The 21,964-nt window shown below is 33.6% G+C and overlaps 1 long non-coding RNA gene across 1 annotated transcript; it reads left to right on the top strand.

Annotated features, from left to right (window-relative positions):
- The first annotated feature begins 19 nt into the window (after positions 1 to 19).
- Positions 20 to 21,860, top strand: LOC105379063 (uncharacterized). Its single transcript, XR_948533.3, has 3 exons — positions 20 to 147; positions 2,893 to 2,940; positions 20,278 to 21,860. It is a non-coding gene; the product is annotated as an uncharacterized LOC105379063 (long non-coding RNA).
- Positions 21,861 to 21,964: the final 104 nt, after the last annotated feature.

Genomic DNA, 21,964 nt, shown 5'->3' with positions numbered 1-21,964 from the left:
GACGTTCTGAGTTCAGATTTCACGTTCACTCTGTAATGGCTGGGGGCTTCAGTAAAATACTTAATCTCCCTAAGCCAGTTTTTTCATCTGTAAAACGGAGCTAATAATAACAGTCTTACCTTGTGTAAATGGCACAGAATTATTATGGTAAGTCCCTGGCACAGTGCCAGAAAAAAATATGTGTTGGAGAAAGTGAGAGGTAGTTTTACTGATTAAACTGATTTACTTTCTACAGAAAAGAGATGTGTTCTTACTGTCTGTGGCACAGGGGCCCTTTAATAAGAGTTTTCTTGCAGTCGTTTGTGGAATATAGGATAGATCTCATCAGTAGGGGTAATGATTTGGAAAATGATTTTTGACAATGAAGGTAAAGATATCTGTATAAGATACGGTGTTTTGCTAAAAGTTCATAAGTATTCCAAGTGGCAGAAATTATTTTTATATTTGTGCCACATCTGTCCTTTGAAATACCAAACGTCCACTTTTAATCTTTTTTTTAAAAATCATTTTAGCCTTTCTTTACTAAATTTCCAGGATACAATTTTTTATTTAAAAATGAACTAATGGGCTTAAGGAGCTTAAAAATGAACAAAGAAATACAGTATGATCAAAATTTGCCTCTTCAGTAAATTTCAATATATTTCCCCTTCACTAGTTGTGCATCATATAATGAGTAAGAGACGTAAGTGATTGTTATAGCAAGATCAAGATAGACACAAGATTTCATAGGCTGAGATAGTGCTAACATCTTGAAAATAACCTAAATTTCTAAATTAACACAATCCAAATTCCCATCTTTATTAATGAATTAATATGAACCACAAAAGCCAACAGATTTTGGGAACAAGACCATTTTTTTTTCTTATCCAGCCACATCATACCTATGTTACTTCAAAAGTTGCCTATTGCTTTCCATCTGCATCTCCTGAACTGGCAGATAGTGCCACATCCAAAATGACCTGACCATACAGCTGTCTTGTGAGACCTATCCTGGGAAACTTCTTAAGCTAATACTTATGTATAGTATTTTTTTTTCTGAACACATTAAATTTTTTAATTTCCACTTATCATTTGGAGTTTTAATCACACGAATTTTCCCAGGTCACTCTGTCCTTTAGTGTAGTGGTCCACTCCTGGAAACTATGTTCTCCCTTTACAGAGCTGATTCCCATTGACATTCGCTGCTTCTATTTCCATGCTATACAATTATTGCTTGGAAAATGAAGACTCATTACATTTTGCATAAGATTTATTGTATATCTTTCATCTTGCAAATTTCTGGTCTAAACATGCAAACACAAAGAAAGTTAGTTGAACAAGTGAATGATTCTACCCTTCAATGATTTTTTATCCACACGAAAGTTTCTTATGATACTCCACATGGAAATTATTTCAGATATTTATGTAATCACATATTTTTTCTTCCCGAACATTAGGAAAACTTTACATATACTCTGGGTATATGTATACTCCTTATTTCTATAAGGAGCTACTGAGATCTTTTCCATAAAATGACATAATTTAGTGTTCCATTTTAGAAATGTCACATTGGCTGGCTATTAAAAATAGTCTCCAAGGGCCACAGCTGGGAAACCAGATAAGAGGTTATTGCAATGGTCCTGTCAAGAGATTAGAGGGGTGTGGGAAATGGTGATAATTGTAAGAAGGGCAAAAGGGTCAAATTCTGGATAGTCCTCTAAGGTGTATTTTCATGTAAGTTAGTATGAGATATGAAAAAGGGGGGCTTTTGAATTATTTGCCTAATAATTTATTTGCAATAAATTATTATTATTTGACTAATAAATGATCAGATAGAGTTGCCATTGAGAGAGAAAAAATGCAGAGAAAAACATTTGAAGGACTGAATAATCAAGAATTCAGTTTAGGGCATATATATTTGGTAACACTGATTAGGCATCAAAATGGGGAAAACTACTATTCTTCTTTATAACCAGTTTAAATCTATTTCCTTAAAAATTCTGCTGAGAGTTTCATTTCTTCAGGTTGTAAACAAAATAGAAGTCTAAAACTTTAGGTCATTAATAGGTGAACAATTATTCTACAGTTTTGAAAAGACTGAAAATTCATTGATCACCTACATAGAGTTCTGAACAGTATTAAGTGATCACAGGTGCCCAGGTCCACTCTATATTTATAAAACTTAACCTAATTAGCAACTTATTAGAAACCTAAGAAAATGGCCTTCATACAAGTTTCTAAGAAATAAATATAAAAATGTTCTTATTAAAAGTAAATATATATACATATGTGTGTACACACGTTTGTATGTGTACATGCATATGTCCCATATTAAATAATATTTCCATCTACCAAACTAATATCAAAACACTCATAGTATCAAGTTCTCAAGGGATAAGAAAAAAATTATATCACCCACTGAAAATGAATATGTCAGTATGTCATAATTTTTAAAAAACAATACATTTGAATCACTAACAATATAAAATGTTTCTGACTACATATATAATGTTTATTTATTATTTATTATGTTGAAAAATTGAAGTTAACAACATTAAATTAGAAGAAAATGTTTAAATTATTATCTACATTATGGATAATATGTGCACAATAATGACAATTTTCTTCAAAGATTTTATTGGCATAGTAAAATTTTTAGAATATAATTAAATATAAAATATAAATACAGAATAATCTCAATTTTTAAAAAAGTAGCTCATTTGGTCTACTTTTACAATTCATATATAAATGCATAGGGATTCCTTTTATAACGTGTATATAAATGGCTAAGTGGTTTGTGTGTGTGTGTGTGTGTGTGTGTAAAGACTGGGAGGTAATAACAGCAAAATCTATCATTAATTATGATTAATATTTGGGTGATAGGAAGATAATCTATTATTTCCTTGTTTACAGTTTTCTGTGATTTACAAAGAGCATATATGAATTTAATAATCAGAAAAGGTAAGTGGACTTAGTTTTTTAAATGTCTGAATAGAAGCCTCAAAATATTTTATACAAAACTGGTCTTCTGAAGGTGTTAAAGTAATGGATTCCTAAAGAAGACTAATAGAAATAGAAAAATTTGGATTTGCTTCAACCATTTCCAGATTAGTTCTTGCTAATAATTTACAGCAGTTTTAAGGCATGGAAGTATATCATCTATAATTCTCCAACATTATAGCCATCTCCCAGTCCTTAGCATATAATTAGAGCCAAAATCTGGTTCAAATGGTGAAACGGTGTGTATTTAAATGTGTTTTGGTTTAAAACAAAGGAAAAAAGAAAATCTACATATTTAATTCTAGATTCCTCGATGGCATGTTTTGCAATTCTTTCCAATTTGAAAAAGATGGCAATACCAAGAAAATATGAGTGAAATTTTTTATTTTCCAGATTACACATGAATACATATTTTAGAATATTAAATATAAATACAAACTCTAGAACACTAACATAAATATAAATGCAAAATAGTACGTGCATTACCTACTCTTTATAATGCAACAAATTTCAATGATCATTATACATTAAATAATTTTTATTCAAATTCACAGTAAAGTAGCTTCTCATGAGGAAAAATACCTCTGTAAGAAAGAAAATATTCTGTTTTCGTGCTTGAGATATACCAAGTTGTATGTGTTATATACTATGCGACTTATGTAAATTCCATAAATAAATTTTGCAAAGAGAACAAGATTTTACAAATTATATTATCAACTATATGTATACATTTATCATTAAATTTATTTTTTCAAATATCCATGCATGACTCTTCTGTGGTAGACCATTATGTTCTTTAAATGAAACTTTAATATACTTAAAATATTTACAAACTTAATATATACCAAAAATAACTAAAATTATTCTTGAGTAATTAAAACAAAAATGATGACTATATGATCCTATTACCTTGAGATGAAGAAGACTATCATCCTGTTCACTGTACAGAAATAACTGAATGGGAAGACATCAATCTAGATTAGTTACAGTAACATTTCAATTTAATACAATCTAAGAGTCTGATATACTTTCTCTCCTTTTTATGTTTTTTCTTGCAGAGTATGATCACTCTGTTCTTTCATTTTTTTAATTTTCTCTTTTGGTTATCATATTTTCCCTCCCAGATACCTCTTATTTTGAATGTTTTCACCAGAATTTATGTTTGTTTTCAACTATTATTAATTGGCTGTTTCATTATTATGATGTTTATCTTAGTTATCATATCTTTTCTTCATTAGTTTTCTCTTTACTGTCAATTATATCTGAAGCCTTCACAAAATATTTTGCCTAGTATCTTAATTCCAATAGGTAGTGTCTATTTGAAGCCAAAGAGAGAATAGTTTTAAACATGAATTTCCTATATATATTTTTACATAATCAAGAATAGTAATGACCTGATTCCAGCAGGCCTAATAGCTTTGGTAGAAGGTAAAGATAGTTTTGTAAGATCCTAGATATATTGTCTGTTTTGGGATAAAGTAACATAAAATAATAAATGTGTAGTCATTACATGTAAAGAAATGTTCTTTACAAGTGTTAAATGATAGAAAACCAAATTAGCATAAATAGTTTTGCACAGAAACTATATTTTAAAGAGTATTCTTCCTTTATTTTTGTCAATATTCAAAGGCCTATACTAACTTTAGGAAATCATTGAAATGAAGATGACAGCAACAAATCTATAATTTGGTAAATTATTAATTATAAGGGTAAACTTTGTCCACATAATGACCAATCAGTTGATTAAATTAGTCTCAACAAACAACCCATCTTTTCAGAAAAAATAAAATTGTATAAAATAGAGATCCTCTGAGTGAAGTACATATTTAGTTTATCGAAGTATTGATTCAGGTATTCAGGTTGCCTGTTTGATATATTCTAAATGGAGACTGCATTTTTTAAAAGATTTAAATAAGTTTGTTTGCCTGTTTCACTTTGGGAAGTTTGTCAAAGTCTATACATTTTTATAAATCTTAATCTTTTACATTCTTATCGATAAAAGTATTATTTCCTTCATATGACTTTTATAGCATTATTTTCAAACCGTAAAAAGGAATACCTGAGAATTTCAAATACAAAATGTTTTTTAGTGAATATATTCATCCTTAACCTAAATACAGTGCACAATATTCTCTTAGAACACTGAAATATTCCTGATCTGTAACTTATCGCTGCAAAATAAAATAATTTCTTTATTTGTGAATGGTCATGGTGGTTTGATTGCAAAGCAATAGATTTTAGAATGGCTACTGTTTTATTTGAAAAAGAGATACATTTATAAATAGTTTATTTTTAAAACATAAAACATCCATCGTATAAAAAACACAGTTTCATAAAGAAAATACAAAACTATTTTTATTGAATAATATATTATTGCTGGCTGGCTTTATTATTTTCTCAGTTTATGCACTTTAAGTGGTAAGTACCAAAGGTAGGCTCTCTTTATAATATTGAGTTAAAACATATGAAGAGAATCTACATTCTTTAATCACGACCCTGTCAAAGCTGTGTAAGTTTGAATGTTGAGAGATGGAGTCATGTATTTTCTGAATGTAAAGTACTTGCAAGGGGTGAAGAAAAGGATCCAGAATACCTAAAACAATTTTCAAAAAAGAAGTACAAAGTATACTTCAACCACCTGGTTGCAAGACTCAAAGATCATTAAGGTTGTATGATATGACAATAAAAAGCAAATAAATAAATTGAACAAAAATAGCAAATCCAGAAATAAAACCACGCATATAGAGTCAATAATTTTTTACATTCACTAAAATTCAATGAGGAACAACAACAACAACAAAGCCTGGACATCCATATGGAAAAATGAGCAACGACCTCATACAATATGAAGAAAAACAAAGCCAGTGGCATGATTAAAAACATCCAAAGCAAAGAGATATTATAAAAAATGAATGAAAGGGAATTTAAACTCTTCTATTTATTTGAGAAAATATATGGAAGAGAATGGGACAATTTGAGAAGATTAAAATGTTAAATTTTGAGACAATGTTCTTATGTATATTTCAAGTTTAGTAGAAACCCTTGTGGGTCAGATATCTTAATTTTAGAAAATCAAAAATAATTTTATTGACTTTTTAATTTTTCTATTGCTATATAATTGTACATATTTTGAGGGCATAAGTAGTATTTTGATACATGTATATAATGTGCAATGATATCTCAAATATTTATCATTTCTTTATATTGGGAACATTGTAATTCTTTTTTTAGCAATTTTGAAAAATACTATAAATTATTGTTAACTATAATTTATGCTTTCAATCTAACAATATTTTTCTACCTTTTAACCAACTTCTCTTTAACCCCTTCCTGTTTAGAATTGTGAAAATTCTTATACATGAGTAACATTTTAAAGTAATAATTTACAGCCAACACATTTTTAGAATGTATATCTATTCATTGGAAAGTGAAGGCAATATTGTACCTTAATAATTCATTGAATTTTGACAACATTTTTAATCTTATAAGAGATAGTAATTTTATTTTATTTTTAATGTTCATACTTTATTTTGGTGGCCATCTCGTTCTAAGTTCATAATGATTTTTTTAAGAATATCATTTAAAACAATAACTCTTCTCTAAAGATGCTACATCATGCTCCATGGATGGGTAACTGCTTAAACTTGTGATATATACACACACATGCAATATATATATACACACATACACAAATATTTTATATATAAATACTATATATATATTTCCACACTGTATATATACCCCATAAATATACTATATATACACACGATATTTATATATACATATTTATACATATATAATACATTCAGATAAACACAAACTATATATACTATTTGTTCCTAACATAGAGTTTGGTAGTATATATATTATTGGTTTCTATATTAAGCAATACTGGCTTCTTTTGTATAATAGAATGAAAAAATTGTCACTCATTTCTTTTTAGTGCCATGGGTAATGACCCAAAAGGGAACTGCTGAGAAGGGTAGACTTAGATGTTGTAGTCAGATTGGGGCATAATAGGAAGTAAAAACCAAACAGAAGGAAAAACTAAACTAAAGAGCTTCTGCGCAGCAAAAGAAACTATCATCAGAGTGAACATGCAACCTACAGAATGGGAGAAAAATTTTGCAATTTATTTATCTGACATAGGGCTAATATCCAGAATCTACAAGGAACTTAAACACATTTACAAGAAGAAAACAAACAACCCCATCAAAAAGTAGGTGAAGGATATGAACAGACACTTCTCAAAACAAGACATTTATGTGGCCAACGAACATATGAAAAAATGCTCATCACATTGGTCGTTAGAGAAATGCAAATCAACACCACAAGGAGATACCATTTCATGCCAGTTAGAATGGCGATCATTAAAAAGTCAGGAAACAACGGATGCTGGAGAGGATGTGGAGAAATAGAAACGCTTTTACACTGTTGGTGGGAGTGTAAATTTGTTCAACCATTGTAGAAGACAGTGTGGCAATTCCTCAAGGATCTAGAACCAGAAATACCATGTGACCCAACAATTCCATTGCTGGGTATATACCCAAAGGATTATAAATCATTCTACTATAAAGACACATGCACATGTATGTTTATTGGGGCACTATTCACAATAGCAAAGACTTAGAACCAACCCAAATGCGCATCAATGATAGACTGGATAAAGAAAATGTGGCTCATATACACCAGGGAATACTATGCAGCCATAAAAAAGGATGCATTCCGCAGGACGAGGTGGCTCAAGCCTGTAATCCCAGCACTTTGGGAGGCCAAGCGGGGCGGATCACGAGGTCAGGAGATCCAGACCACCCTGGCTAACACGGTGAAACCCCGTCTGTACTAAAAATACAAAAAATTAGGCAGGCACAGTGGCGGGCGCCTGTAGTCCCAGCTACTCGGGAGGCTAGGGCAGGAGAATGGCGCGAAGCCGGGAGGCAGAGCTTGCAATGAGCCGAGATCGTGCCACTGCACTCCAGCCTGGGCGACAGAACGAGACTCCGTCTCAAAAAATGAATAAATAAATAAATAAATAATGAGTTCATGGCTTCTGCAGGGACATGGATGAAGCTGGAAACCATCATTCTCAGCTAACTATCACAAGAACAGAAAACCAAGCACCGCATGTTCTCACTCATGCGTGGGAGTTGAACAATGAGAGCACATGGACACAGGGAGGGGAACATCACACACTAGGGCCTGTTGAGGGTTGGGGAGCTAGGAGAGGGATAGCATTAGAAGAAATACCTAATGTAGATGATGGGTTGATGGGTGCAGCAAACCACCATGGGACGTGTATGTCTATGTAACAAAACTGCATGTTCTGCACATGTACCCCAGAACTTAAAGTAATATAATAAATAAATAAGAAAAAAAGTCCCCTCCAAAAAATTTTAGTAAGCTGAGTTTAGCAGTAAATATAATTAAAATTATAAAACACTTACTAAGAGGAATCAAAGAGTGGGATGATATAATGGAACACTCAAAATTACTAAGATGTCAATTATTTCCAAATTAATCTAAAGATTAAAAAGCAATACCAGTTAAAATCCAATCAATCATTTCCTTGAAATTATCAAGCGTATACTAAAATTTATACAAAAATGCAAAGGATACAGAATAACTAAAACATTTTTCAAAAAAGTACAGAATTAGCATACATAACACTACATGGTTGCAAGGCTCAAAAATTATTAAGGCTGTATGATATAATCATAAAAAACAAATAAATAAATGGAACAAAATAGCAAATCCAGAAATAAAACCACTCATATACAGTCAATAATTTTTGCACACATTTAGTAAAATTCAAGAGGAACAAAAAAATCTGACAATATGAAAATAATAATTTATGAAGAATAAACCTAAATATCTCTACTACTTTCTAGCATGCCAAGATATTTTAGGCAGGACACAAAAAGATAAAACAAAAGAAAAATATATATAAATTGTACTTTGTCATCATTAAAAACTTGACCAATAAACACACTCAGCTAAGAACGTGAAAAAGCAAGTCTTAAAGTTTTCTGAGTTGTTGAAATGCGTTAGAGCAGCATGGCTGTACCCAGACAACCCTGGCATTGGGGTTAAAAGCTTCATTAAAAAAGTCTGTACTCGAGCTTGATTAAAAAAGAACAGAGACACCCTCTTTAGTGACCACAGAAGGTTATAAAACGTGCATTAATTCAGTAGTGTGGCTTTATAGTATAAACCTTATGCCAATAGTTTGCATTTTATCAGAACATTGCGACCTTCATTTCAACTCAAGTGATTATTAGAAAAACGGAAGAAATATCAATAGCTGAGCTTAAATTTCTCACTACCATGATGAAAACAAAATTATGTATTTCTTGAACGTTGGTGCTGGCAATATGATATTCACGCCTTCTGCAAAATATATAGTCCCCTACACACATATTTTAAACAAATTATTCCTGGTTTTTGCCATGAGCAAAAGACGCAAAACTTTCACAAACATTCACATAGACTTTCTTTGGAGTTCATTTTAACTCCATGTCAACAGCATAGAAAATATTGAGTAAGACGAATGACTTAATCCACAAGGTAGTCTGTGGATACCATGGATATTTCTCAGAGCAGAACCATCACAAATGTATTGTAATTTTATTTTAAAAGAAAACAATTTCTAACCCTTGTTTTAAGTAGAAACAAAATGTAAATAGCCCTATTAACAAAATATGGATTTTGATTTTCAGAAAGATATAAATGGCTGATAGTAATAGCTTTCCAAATAACATATTTTTTTCCACTGGGTAAATTCATCAGGCAAGTAAAAAAAGAACATACAGTTTTCTGAAATGGGAGAAAAGATAATAGGTAAACTTTGGAGAAGTCGAAAAAAGAGTTACTGATTTTTAGTTACTTCTAGACTGTCCTTGTACATTGTTAAATAAATAATTAAAATATTGATCCAAGAAATACTAGCAAGAAGCACAAATTAGCCATTAAATAATTTACCTTCCTTTGTAAACAATTAGCGATTAGCTCAGAAAATATTATCTCTGTACATAATACTGCAGAACAGTTCTCTGGGTGGCGGTGGACCCACCTAGTTTTCCCCCATTTCTTGTTCATGGTTCTCAAATAACTCTAGAATGTGCTGAGAATTCATTATTCTGAGATAGGGTAGAACTGCTTAAAACAGCTCATACCTTGTTATTGTTCCTTCAAGGAAACATGGCATGTTGAGTTAGGAAGGAACTGCCCAGGACAGCCTGAGTTTCGTTCCTCTCTCCCCTGGAAGCAGGATATTTATCAAGGCTTTGCCCACTAATTCTCATGGCCCCCAGGTGGCCCCAGGCCTTTGGGGGTCCTTTATCTATGGTGCAAGTGGGGCACATGCAATCAAGGCTTCATCTACCTAGGACAGCTTTTGGATCTATGGAGGACCAACTCACTATGGATTCTAGACTCCTTTTATTGCTGCCTAACTGTAAGCAATAAATCCACTTCTTCTAACTTGTTATATATGAGTATGTTCTGTATCACTGGACTCAGACAGATTGGTAACCAGTGCACAGTAAGCCTGCTTCACAAATCTGTGGTTTGTGAAATAAGACAAATAAATATCACAAGTAAATTTTGTTTTTTCCTACGCTCTCTACTGCTACGTAGTGACACGTAAAATGATTTATATGTAAAGTTTTATGTAAATGTTTATAAATAAAGTTTGTAAGTACAAACTTTACATTAATATTGGACTTAACAGATTTAATCATATTAGAATTACTGCAAGAGGTGAGTAAGGCAAATACATTAGAAAATACACAAATTACTCTCTTTAAAAGTTTTCCTATATAACTATCCTTTAATTGGCTTCTGTATCTTTTCATATGAATATTAATGTATATTTCTACTAGAGTAACTTAAAATATTTGGATTATTGCTTTTGTCCATATAATAAAATCTAGGGAACTAGCAATCTCATCAAGATTTGTATGCACCCATCAAGTGACTTCGAAATCTTTTTTCCTCCACCTTTCTCTCAAACCGCACATACATTTCAGAAAAAAATAAAAATACTCAACTTTGCTTCTGGTTAGGATGCATATGTGAAAAACCAACTATCCTACTATTACAATGAAAGAATACCATGTAATTCATGCAATCAGAACTTTAATAAAACCTATCAGAGAGCTAAAGAAAAAGAAATCTAAAAGACAAGTGCTTTGAGCATTTCTTAGGTGAGCAGAGCCTAGCCTATTTTTATTCGTGGTGACAGAGGTGGATGAAGAAGCTAATCTCCCATAGAAGAAACAAAGGAATAAGTAGAGAAGGACACTCTGTTAGAGAGAGTATCCTAAACAAAAGCTAGATCTTAAAGTTCACCAAATCACCCCCATGAGATTTTACTAATTGTGCATTGGTGCTGAGCAGGGAAGTTGGAAGGGCTCCTGTCTTCTTAGGATGGCTAGGTCCCAAATACTGATAGTACAAGTGTCCTTATCCCACCCTGAGATGCAGGATCTCAGTATAGAACTGACACTTTAAAAAGTTGCATTTCAGCTCTGGCTCAATTCAATTCTTAGTTTTATTAAAGAGAACAAACCCTCACTCTAGCCATCTGGGGAAAAAAAGAGCAAAGCCTTTCATGAGAAAATATACTATTCTCAACTGTTATTTTATGCAAAGTGCCTGGCATCTTACACAGATGTGTGTGTGTGTGTGCATGCGTGCATGTGTGTGACTATGAATTAGCAGGAAAGTGTGGACTATAGTCAAATAAAAAAACTGACAATAAAAGATGACACAAAAATTGTCCAGATTACCCAGAGAATGGCAGAACTTACAGGAAAAATTAAGCTACTGAATAAAAGAATATGTACAGAATTTCAGCATAAAAACAAAAGCTTTAATAAATGAACCGAATAAAAATTCTAGAACTAAAATTCTGCAATATTTGATCTTAAAAATATTAGATGGGTGTAACAACAGATAAAAAAGAAGAAAAGATAAGTGATTCATCAGTAGGTTAATATAAATTAGCTAAATTGAAGAACAGACATTTTTAGAAAAAGAATGGAGACTCTAAGTCATATGAAAAGATGTTCAAGATATCTAACATATATGGAAATGGATTTCTAGAAAAAGAGAAGAAAAAGCATTTAAAATTACAATGTCTGAATATTTTCTGAAATTAGTGAATAGTATTTACCCACAGATCCAAGACCGCGACACCCAAGAAAAGCATAACATTTCAGTAAAATCTGCTGAAATGCAAAGATAATCAGAGAAACCTTCAAAGCAGCTAGAAACAATAAATATTACAATCAGACACATAATAATAAGAATAATGTCAAATTTTCATTAGAAACATTGAAAGCTAGGAGGTGATAAAAGCATCATTAAAATATGGAAAAGAAAAAAGCATAAGAAAAAAAATTATAGGCTAGATTCCCAATACAAAGAAAAAGCACTTAAAGAAAATAAAGACATAGGCAGACAAAACCTGTATACTTGTACAAGAATTGTTGAAGTTCTTCAGGTTAAAGTAGAACAAAACCAAATTAAAGTATGAATTTACATTTCTATAAAAAAAGAAAAAGATCCTTGAAGAGAGTAAAAGTGTGGACAAAATGAATAACAATGTATTGTGTGGTTAATAATTTAAAAGTATAATATATGAGAAAATATCACAAACAGTGGAAGAAAAGTTGAATGAAAGCACAGTATTATAAAGTTATGATTTTCATTTTGAAGAAGTATAATTTAAGTAAATTTAAATTTTGATAAATTAATATTGCATATTTTAACCTCCGTAGTAATCAGACACACACACACACACAAATGCAAATATCCAAGAAAAGAATAATTTATAAAATAGAACACTACTTAGGAATAAAAAAATGAACAAACTCCTGATGCAGTCAGCAATGTGGAAGAATCTTAAAAACACAATGTTGCTGAAAAGAAGTCAGGCATAGAAAACACACTGTAGGATTGATTATATGTATATGAAGTTCCAGAATATATGGAATTTACAGTGAAATAAGTCAAAAAACGTTGGTAAGGAAAATTAGAAGTGGGCACAGAAAACTGCCTGGTTATGGAAATGTTTTATATATTTACCTCTTATTTTACATTGGTATATAAATATAAAATACATCAAGCTGTATTCTTAAATAAGGCCTCACTATTGTGCGAGCATTCATTATATTTTCCACATTTTATGCTTTATATTTTTTCAGTGTTCTTTCTGCCTAATCCCCACTTTCCTGCCATATTTATCTTTTAACCTCATAATCAAGGTCCAGATATGTATTATATATTGTTTTCTGTCATCTTTCCCATGAAGATTCATCTATAACAATTTGCCTATAACTTCTTAAATTATTGATTTTACAATAAATATGCCTATACAAATATCAGATAGTATTGAGATAACTATTTTCTAAAGTTTTGTTTTGTGTCCACAGTTAAACACTTACGTGTACTTTGCAAACAGAAACCACAATCCTACATCATGTATCGAACATTCCCTGAAGCCATACTCATTTTATGTACAATATTCTCTTATACATTGAATTTTATTTTAACCTATTCTGTTACATTCTATTACATGTTTATTTTAATAAAAACATAATCCTGGTGGCAGTGAGTTTTATGACCCACAATATGGCAAGAAATGCAATAAAAAAACATAACTCTAGAGACGTTTCTTATTCATTTCAGTTTCCCTCCCAAAATGTATCTCAAGGGCAGAGCAAGATGGCTGAATAAAAGCCTACATCATTCTTTCCTCCCAAACCCCCACAGGAACATCACATTTTAACAACAACCTGCACACAGGAAAGCACCAGTATAAGAACTAAAAATCAGATGAGCAATCACAGTACCTTGTTCTAACTTCATATCATTGAAAGAGGCATTGAGGATGGTGGGAGAAAATGTCTTGAACTGCCAATGCCACCTCTCCCACACCCCCTGGCAGCAGCTGTGCAGCATGAAGAGAGAATCTGTGCACTTGAGAGATGGAGAGTACAGTGACTGGAGGACATCATATTGAACTCAGTGCTGCCATAGCGGAGAGTAAAGCCTTATTGGGTTCAGTCAGTGCCCATACACAGAGGGAACATTTAGATCAGATCTAGTCAGACAGGATTGCCCATCCCATGTTTTGGAGCTTGAGAATCTCAGCAATCCTCGCCACAGTGAGTCAAAATGCTCTGGGGTCTGAGGTAAACTTGAAAGACAATCTAGGACACAAGAACTACAATTCCTAGGCAACTCCTATTGCTGGGCTGGAGTCAGAGCCAGAGAACTAGGGTGGCACATGATCTATGGTGACACCAGTCAGGGCATCTAATGGAGTGCTTCAGTCACTCCTCCTCCAAACCCAGGCAGTGCAGCTCAGAGCAATGAAAGTGTCTCCTCCCTTCTGCTTAAGAAGAGGAGAGCGAAGACTAAAGAGGATTTTGTCTTGCATCTTGGATACCGGATCAGACACAGTAGAGTAGGGGACTGGGCAGTGTTGTGGGGCTGCCATGACTAGTTAACAGACAACATTTCTAGACACACCTTGGGCCAAAAGAGAACCTATTGCCTTGAAGGGAAGGAGTCATCACCTACTGACTAAATAGCCCTTGGGCCCTCAGTAACCACCACTGATACCCAGGTAGTAAGTCATGGGCCTTGGGCTCTGAGATGTGCTGCCAACAGGTGTGACCCAGCATATTCCTAGCCATGGCGGCTGTGGTGAAAGACTCCTGTTTGAGAAAAGCAGAAGAAAAAGTAAAAGGGACTTTGTTTTGCATCTTACGTACCAGCAAGGCCACTGGGGTAGAGCACTAAGCAGGCTCTTTGGGTCCCCAAGTCCAGGCCCAGGCTCTTGGACAGCATTTCTAGACCTGCCTTAGGCCAGAGGGGAGCTCATTGCCCTGAAGGACAAGTCTTAGGCTTGGCAGAATTCACCACAAGCTGACTGAAGAGACTATGGGCTATAAATGAACATCAACAATGGCCTGGCAGAACCACCTCCTCCCCCAGCCCTTGGCTGGTGGTGGAGGAGGCTCCTCTTCCTGTGGAAAGGGGAGGGAAAAGCAGGAATGACTTTATATTTTGGTTTGAGTGCCAGCTTAGCTGAAGTAGAAAACAACATCAGGCAAGTTTCTAAGATTTTTGACTATAAAACCTGGCTCTCAGGCAGCATCACCGGACCTTCCTGCAGCCTGGGGGATCTTGCCACCCAGAAGAGAAGGTGACAAACTTGGCTGGCTTTACCACCTGCTGACTGTAAAGCCCTAGACCCTTGAGTGAACATAGATGGTAGCCAGGGAGTGGTTACAGCAGGCTTTGGGAAGAAACAGGGCTCTGCTGGCTTCAGGTCTGAGCCAGTGCAGTCACAGTGCTGGTGGTCACAGGAGTGCTTGCATTACCACACCTCCAACTCCAGGAAGCTCAGCACAGACAGACTTTGCTTGTTTGGGAGAAAGTCAGGGAAAAGAACAAGAATCTCTTCTTGGTAATCCAGAGAATTCTGGATCTTATTCAGGACCACAGAAGCACTAAGTACCTATACAAGTCTGCAAAAATGACAGTGGTCTTGGGCTTGGTGCCCAAGTCTCTTCAAGTGCCTGGAAAGACTTATCAAGAAGGACAGGCACACACAAGCCCAGATGGTGAAGAATAAGATAAGCACCTAACTTTTCAGTGTCCAGACACAGATGAACATCTACAAGCATCAAGATCATCCAGGCAATCATGACTTCACCAAATGAAACAGAGAAAGTCACCAGGGACCAATCCTAGAGAAATAGAGAAATATGGCCTTCAAGACAGAAAATTCAAAATAGCTGGAGGAAACTCAGAGAAATTCAAAATAACAGAGAAATTAAATAGGAATTCTGTCATACAAAGTTAGCAAAGAGATTGAAATAATTTTAAAGACTCAAGCAGATTCCAGAGTCAAAAAATGCAATTGGCATGCTGAAGAATTTATCAGAGTCAATAGCAGAAATGATCAAGCAGGAAAAATAATAAATGAGCTTGAAGGTAGGCTATATGAAAATAAATAGAGGAGATAACAGAAAAAAATAAAAAATAATGAAGCACGCCTGTCACATCTGGAAGATAGCCTCAAAAGGGCAAATCCAAGAGTTACTGGCATTAAAGAGTTATTTATCTACTACTATTTACTAAAATAACTAAAGAGTTATTTATCTACTACAAGAGTTATTTATCTACTAAAAGTAGAGGAAGAGATAAGGGTAGAAAGTTTATTCAAAGAGAAAATGTCAGAGAACTTCTCAAACCTAGATAAATGTATCAACATTCAAGTACAAGGTTATAGAACACCAAGCAGATTTATTTCAAAGAAGACTACCTTAAGGCATCTAATAATCAAACTCCAAAGGTGAAGAATAAAGAACGAATCCTAAAACAACAAGAGAAAAGAAACATATAACATAAAATGCATCTCCAATACATCAAGTCTGTTATTGATGGGCATTTAGATTGACTCCATGTCTTTTCTATTGTGAATAGTGTCACATGTGTGAATAGACATTTCTTCAAAGAAGACACACAATTGGAAAACAGGCACATGAAAAAGTGCTCAATATCATTGATCATATGAGGAGGCAAATCAAAACTACAATGAGATATCATCTTACCCCAGTTAAAATGACTTATATCCAAAAGTCAGGCAATAACAAAGGCTGCAGAGGATGTGGAGGAAAGGGGCCCTTGTACACTGTTGGTGGGAATGTTAATTAGTACAACCACAATGGAAAACAGTTTGAAGATTCCTCAGAAAACTAAAAATAGACTTACAAGATAATTTAGCAATCCCACTGCTGGGTATATACCCAAAAGAAAGGAAATCAGTATATTGAAGAGATGTTGACTCCCATGTTAGCTTCAGCACTGTTCACAATAGCCAAGATTTGGAAGTAACCTAAGTGTCCATCAACAGATAAATGGATAAAGAAAATATGGCACTTACAAACAATTGAGTACTATTCTGCCATAAAAATGAATGAGATCCTGTCATTTGCAACAATATGGATGGAACCAAGGTTATTATGTTATGTAAAATAAGCCAGGCAGAGAAAGACAAATATCTCATGTTTTCACTTATTTGTGGGATGTAAAATTTATAACAATCAAACACATGGAGATAGAGAGTAAAAGAATGGTTATTTAAGGCTTGAAAGGGCAGTGGGGGCTAGGGGGTAAGTGGGGACAGTTAATAGGTACCCAAAAGAATAGAAAGAATGAACGATACATAGTATTTGACAGCACAACAAGGGCAACTATAGTCAAAATAATTTACATGTACATTATAAAATTACTAGGAGTATAATTGGATTGTTTGTAATACAAAGGAGAAATGCTTGATGGAGTGCACACTTCACTTTTGAGATGTAATTATTACACATGCATTCCTGTATCAAAATAGCTCATGTATCCCATAGATATATACAGCTATTATGTACGCACAAAACTTCAAAAAATTAAGAAGTATCTCATTCATTTGAGTAAAAGAATTAATCAAGAAATGAATAAAAGAAAAGATTCATCATCTCTAAATTTTAAATATAAGTAGATTTATAATCAAGAATAAAAATTAGATTAATTCATATCACTATTTCTGCATTCTAATTAAACAACCCTAAACCATTTTACTAATGTGATAAAATGTTATTTATTCAAAGCACAAATAATAAAGCCAAATACTGTATATATACAAGACAAGTTCATGAATAGTCAGGAGCTAATTTATTATACTTTTTGTTTTATATCTATTGTGGTAAAAGCACAACATCAGAGCCACTCTCTTAACGGATTACTTAGCATACAATACAATATTGTTATCTACAGGCACAATATTGTACAGCAGATCTCTAGAACTTACTCATCATGAATACCTGAAACTTTATATCTGTTAATTAGTAACTCTCCATTTGCCCTTCCCCCAGACTTCTGACAACTCCCATTTTACTTTTTGCTTAGGTGAGTTTGGTTATATTTGTTACTTCATGTAAATGCAATGGTGTAGTATTTGTCCTTGCATGATTGGCTTATTTCATTTAGTATAATGTTTTCCGGCTTTATCCATATTGGCTCATAATGTAGGATTTTCTTTTTTTTTTTAAGTTGAATGATATTCCATTGTATGTATATACCACATTTTGTTTTGTCCATTCCTCTTTTGATGCACATTTAGCTTGTTTCCACAACAACCAAAATTACTATTACAGAGAGTACTGCTGCAATGTACATGGAAATGCTAATATATTTTTGAGATCCTGATTTCAATTCTTCTGAATAAATACTGAGAAGTGGGATTGCTGGATCATATAGTGGTTCTATTTTTAAGCTTTAGAGGCATCTCCATGTTTTTTTCATAACAGCTACACCATTTTGAATTCCCCCCAACTGTGTACAAGGGTTCCAAAAATGTTTACTTAATTATCTGATCAATCTTTTTGCTTCCACTAAATTAATTTGGATCACTGTAATTTTTAAAAAAGCATAAAATTCAAGGAAATGAAAATTGACAAAAATGTACCAAAACAATTTGGTAGGTTTGGATGAATTGTTTTTCCAAGCCCTCATAGATTGCTTTTCCAAAGTTTTGTGTATTATTATTATTTTTATTTTTGAGACTGGATCTCTATCACCCATGCTGGGATGCAATGGTGTGATCACAGCTCACTGCAGCCTAGACTTCCCAGACCCCAGCAATCCTCCTACCTCAGCCTCTGGAGTAGCTGGGACTACATGGATGTACCACCATGCCCAAATTTTTTTTTTTATTTTTTTGTAGAGAAGGGGGTCTCCCTGTTTTGCCCAGGCTGGGCTTGAACTCCTAGGCTCAGGCAATCCTCCTTTTTTGGCCTCCCAAAGTGCTGGGATTAAGGCTTCACTAGACCCAAAAATTATTTTTAAGAGAGGATAGAACATTCAAATGGCATGCAAAAAGATGGTAGCTAGTATTATATAGTAGTACATTTGCTACTACTGGCTATAAAAATACTTGTCAGCAAATAAAATGATTTTATATTTTGACTTTTTACTATTAAGATATGTGCCATTTAATTCTATTTAGCTAAGTCATCATGATATATAAATGTACATTAGTTTCAGTGACAGACTCCGCATGGTCAATTATCCTAATTAGTTACCCTCTTCAAGAATTCTCCCAGCAAAGGTGGTCAGCTAGCATTGCTACACTTCAAAGAAAGCTATCAAATGACTTAACTATTTGTGTTCCTCTAACGCTTTATAATGTACTCTGATTAAATACCAAAGCCCTTAAGTAAATCTACAAGGTTCTTCAAAATAGCCTACCTCAACCCATCACTCTTCTCCCTTCCCTTCTGCTCTCACCAGAGAGGCTCCAACCTGAGAGGGCCTCCTGTCGCTCCTCCAAAACAGATGAAGCAGGTGTCTACCTTAGGGTCTTTCACTTACTGTTTCTTCTGTTCCCGCTGCTTTACCCCAAAATGTCTGCAAGACCCCATTCTGTCTGGGTCTTTATTCAAATGTAAACACAAGGAGGTCTTTTGGTTTCTCATTTAAACATTTTCAACTGACCTTCCTTTTTGTATTCCCTTTTCTTGCTTTTTGTTCTTAATGGCTGTTATCACCTTTGTTGCCTGTTATCACCTTTAATATACTATTTGCCTTCCTTTTCTCATTCCCTTTTCTTGCTTTTTGTTCTTAATGGCCCTAATCATCTTTAGTATAGTATTTAAGGTATTCATGCAGACTTTTAAAATTGTTAGTCTTTCCTCTTAGAGTGTAATTTCTATGAGTAAAGATTCTTTTTATTGATAGTTATATTTTCAATTTATAGAACAGAGCATGACTCAGAGTAGGTGCTTAATTAATATTTATTGCATGAGTAAATGATCCATAATATAGCTTTTGGTAAGTGCCATAATGAATGTTGGAAATAGGTATAGGGTTGCCAGATAAAATATAGGACAACCAATTACATTTGAATTTCAGCTAAGAAAGATAACGTGTTACTTTTGTGTAACTATTTTCCCAATTAATGCACAAGCCATATATATATTCTTTAAAAATTGTTTATTTGAAATTTATATTTCATTATTTGTATATCTGTTTGCTAAATCTGGCAAACCTAAATAACTATCACTGGTGAAACGAGTAGTTTTTTTAATTCGGTATCATAAATTCTTATTAATGAAATTGGTGATATTCAAGATAAATAGCATAAAATAAAGTATATTTTGTCTTTGCATGATAGAGTATGAGGATCTAGTGAAACAAGTAACCTAATTTAAAACTTTTTTTTTTTTTTTGCAGATGGCATTCTAGATTTAATCTCTAATAAACCTAATTTCAATGGTGGGACATTTAATGCAAATTTTCATCAGAAAGGAAAGGGATGGAGGAAAGTTTACCAAGCAAATGGAAAATAGAAACAAATGGGTTATAATCGTAATTTCTGACAAAACAGACTTTAAACCAACAAAGACCAAAAAAAGACAAAGAAAGACATTACATAATGGTAAAGCGTTCAATTCAGCAAGAAGAGCTAACTATCCTAAATATATATGCACCCAATACAGGAACACCCAGATTCATAATGCAGATTCTTAGGGACTTTCAAGGACACTTAGACTTCCACACAATAATAGTGGGAGACTTTAACATCCCCCTGACAATATTAGATAGATCACCAAGACAGAAAACTAACAAAGATATTCAGGACCTGAACTCAGCTCTTGATCAGGTGGACCTGATAAATATCTACAGAACTCTTCACCCCAAAACAACAGGATATACATTCTTCTCATCGCCACATGGCACTTACTCTAAAATTGATCACATAATCAGAAGTAAAACACTCCTCAGCAAATCCAAAAAAAAAAAAAATGAAACATAGCAGTCTCTCAGACCACAGCACAATCAAACTATAACTCAAGATTAAGAAATTCACTGAAAACCATACTGCTACATGGAAATTCAGCAATCTTCTCCCTGAGTTACTTTTGGGTAAATAATGAAATTGAGGAAGAAATCAAGAAGTTTATTGAAACTAATGAGAAGAAAGATACAACATAGCAGAATCTCTGGGATGCAGCTAAAGCAGCGTTAAGAGGGAAATTTATAGCACTAAATACCCACATCAAAAAGCTAGAAAGATCTAAAGTTAGTAACCTAACCTCACAGCTAAAAAACTAGAGAACGAACAGCAAACAAACCCTACAGCTAGCAGAAAATAAGAAATGACCAAGATCAGAGCTGAACTTAAGGAGACAGAGACATGACAAATCCTTCAAAATGTCAACAAATCCAGGAGCTGTATATTTTTTGAAAAAAATAATAAAATAGATCATTAGCTAGACTAATAGAGAAGAAAAGAGAGATGATTCAAATAAACACAATCAGAAATGATCAGGAGGATATTAACATTGACTCCCCAGAAATACAACCATCAGAGAATACTATAAACATCTCTATGCACATAAACTAGAAAATCTAAAAGAAATGGATACATTCCTGAACACATACACCCTCACAAGTCTGAATCAAGAAGAAACTGAATCCCTAAATAGAGAAATAATAAGCTCTGAAATACACGCAGTAATAAATAGTCTAGCAAAAAAAAAAAAGCCCAGGACAAGACAAATTTACAGCTTAGTAATACCAGAGGTACAAAGAAAAGCTGGTACCATTCCTACTGAAACTATTTCAAAATATTGAAAAGGGAGGATTCCTCCCTAGCTCATTCTACGAGGCCAGCATGATCCTGACACAAAAACATGGCAGAGATACAGCAAAAAAGAAAACTTCTGACCAATACCTTTGATAAACATTGGTGCAAAAATCCTAAACAAATGCCAGGCACTGTGGTTCATGCCTGTAATCCCAGCACTTTGGGAGGCTGAGGTGGGTGGACCACCTGAGGTCAGGAGTTTGAGACCAGCCTGGCCAACATGATGGAATCCCATCTCTACTAAAAATAAGGAAATTAACTGGGCGTGGT

This window comes from Homo sapiens, chromosome 5, assembly GCF_000001405.40.
Source record: "Homo sapiens chromosome 5, GRCh38.p14 Primary Assembly".
Taxonomy (NCBI): Eukaryota; Metazoa; Chordata; class Mammalia; order Primates; family Hominidae; genus Homo; species Homo sapiens.
Note: the sequence above shows the minus strand (reverse complement) of the source record. Positions and strands in the feature narration are given on the sequence as shown.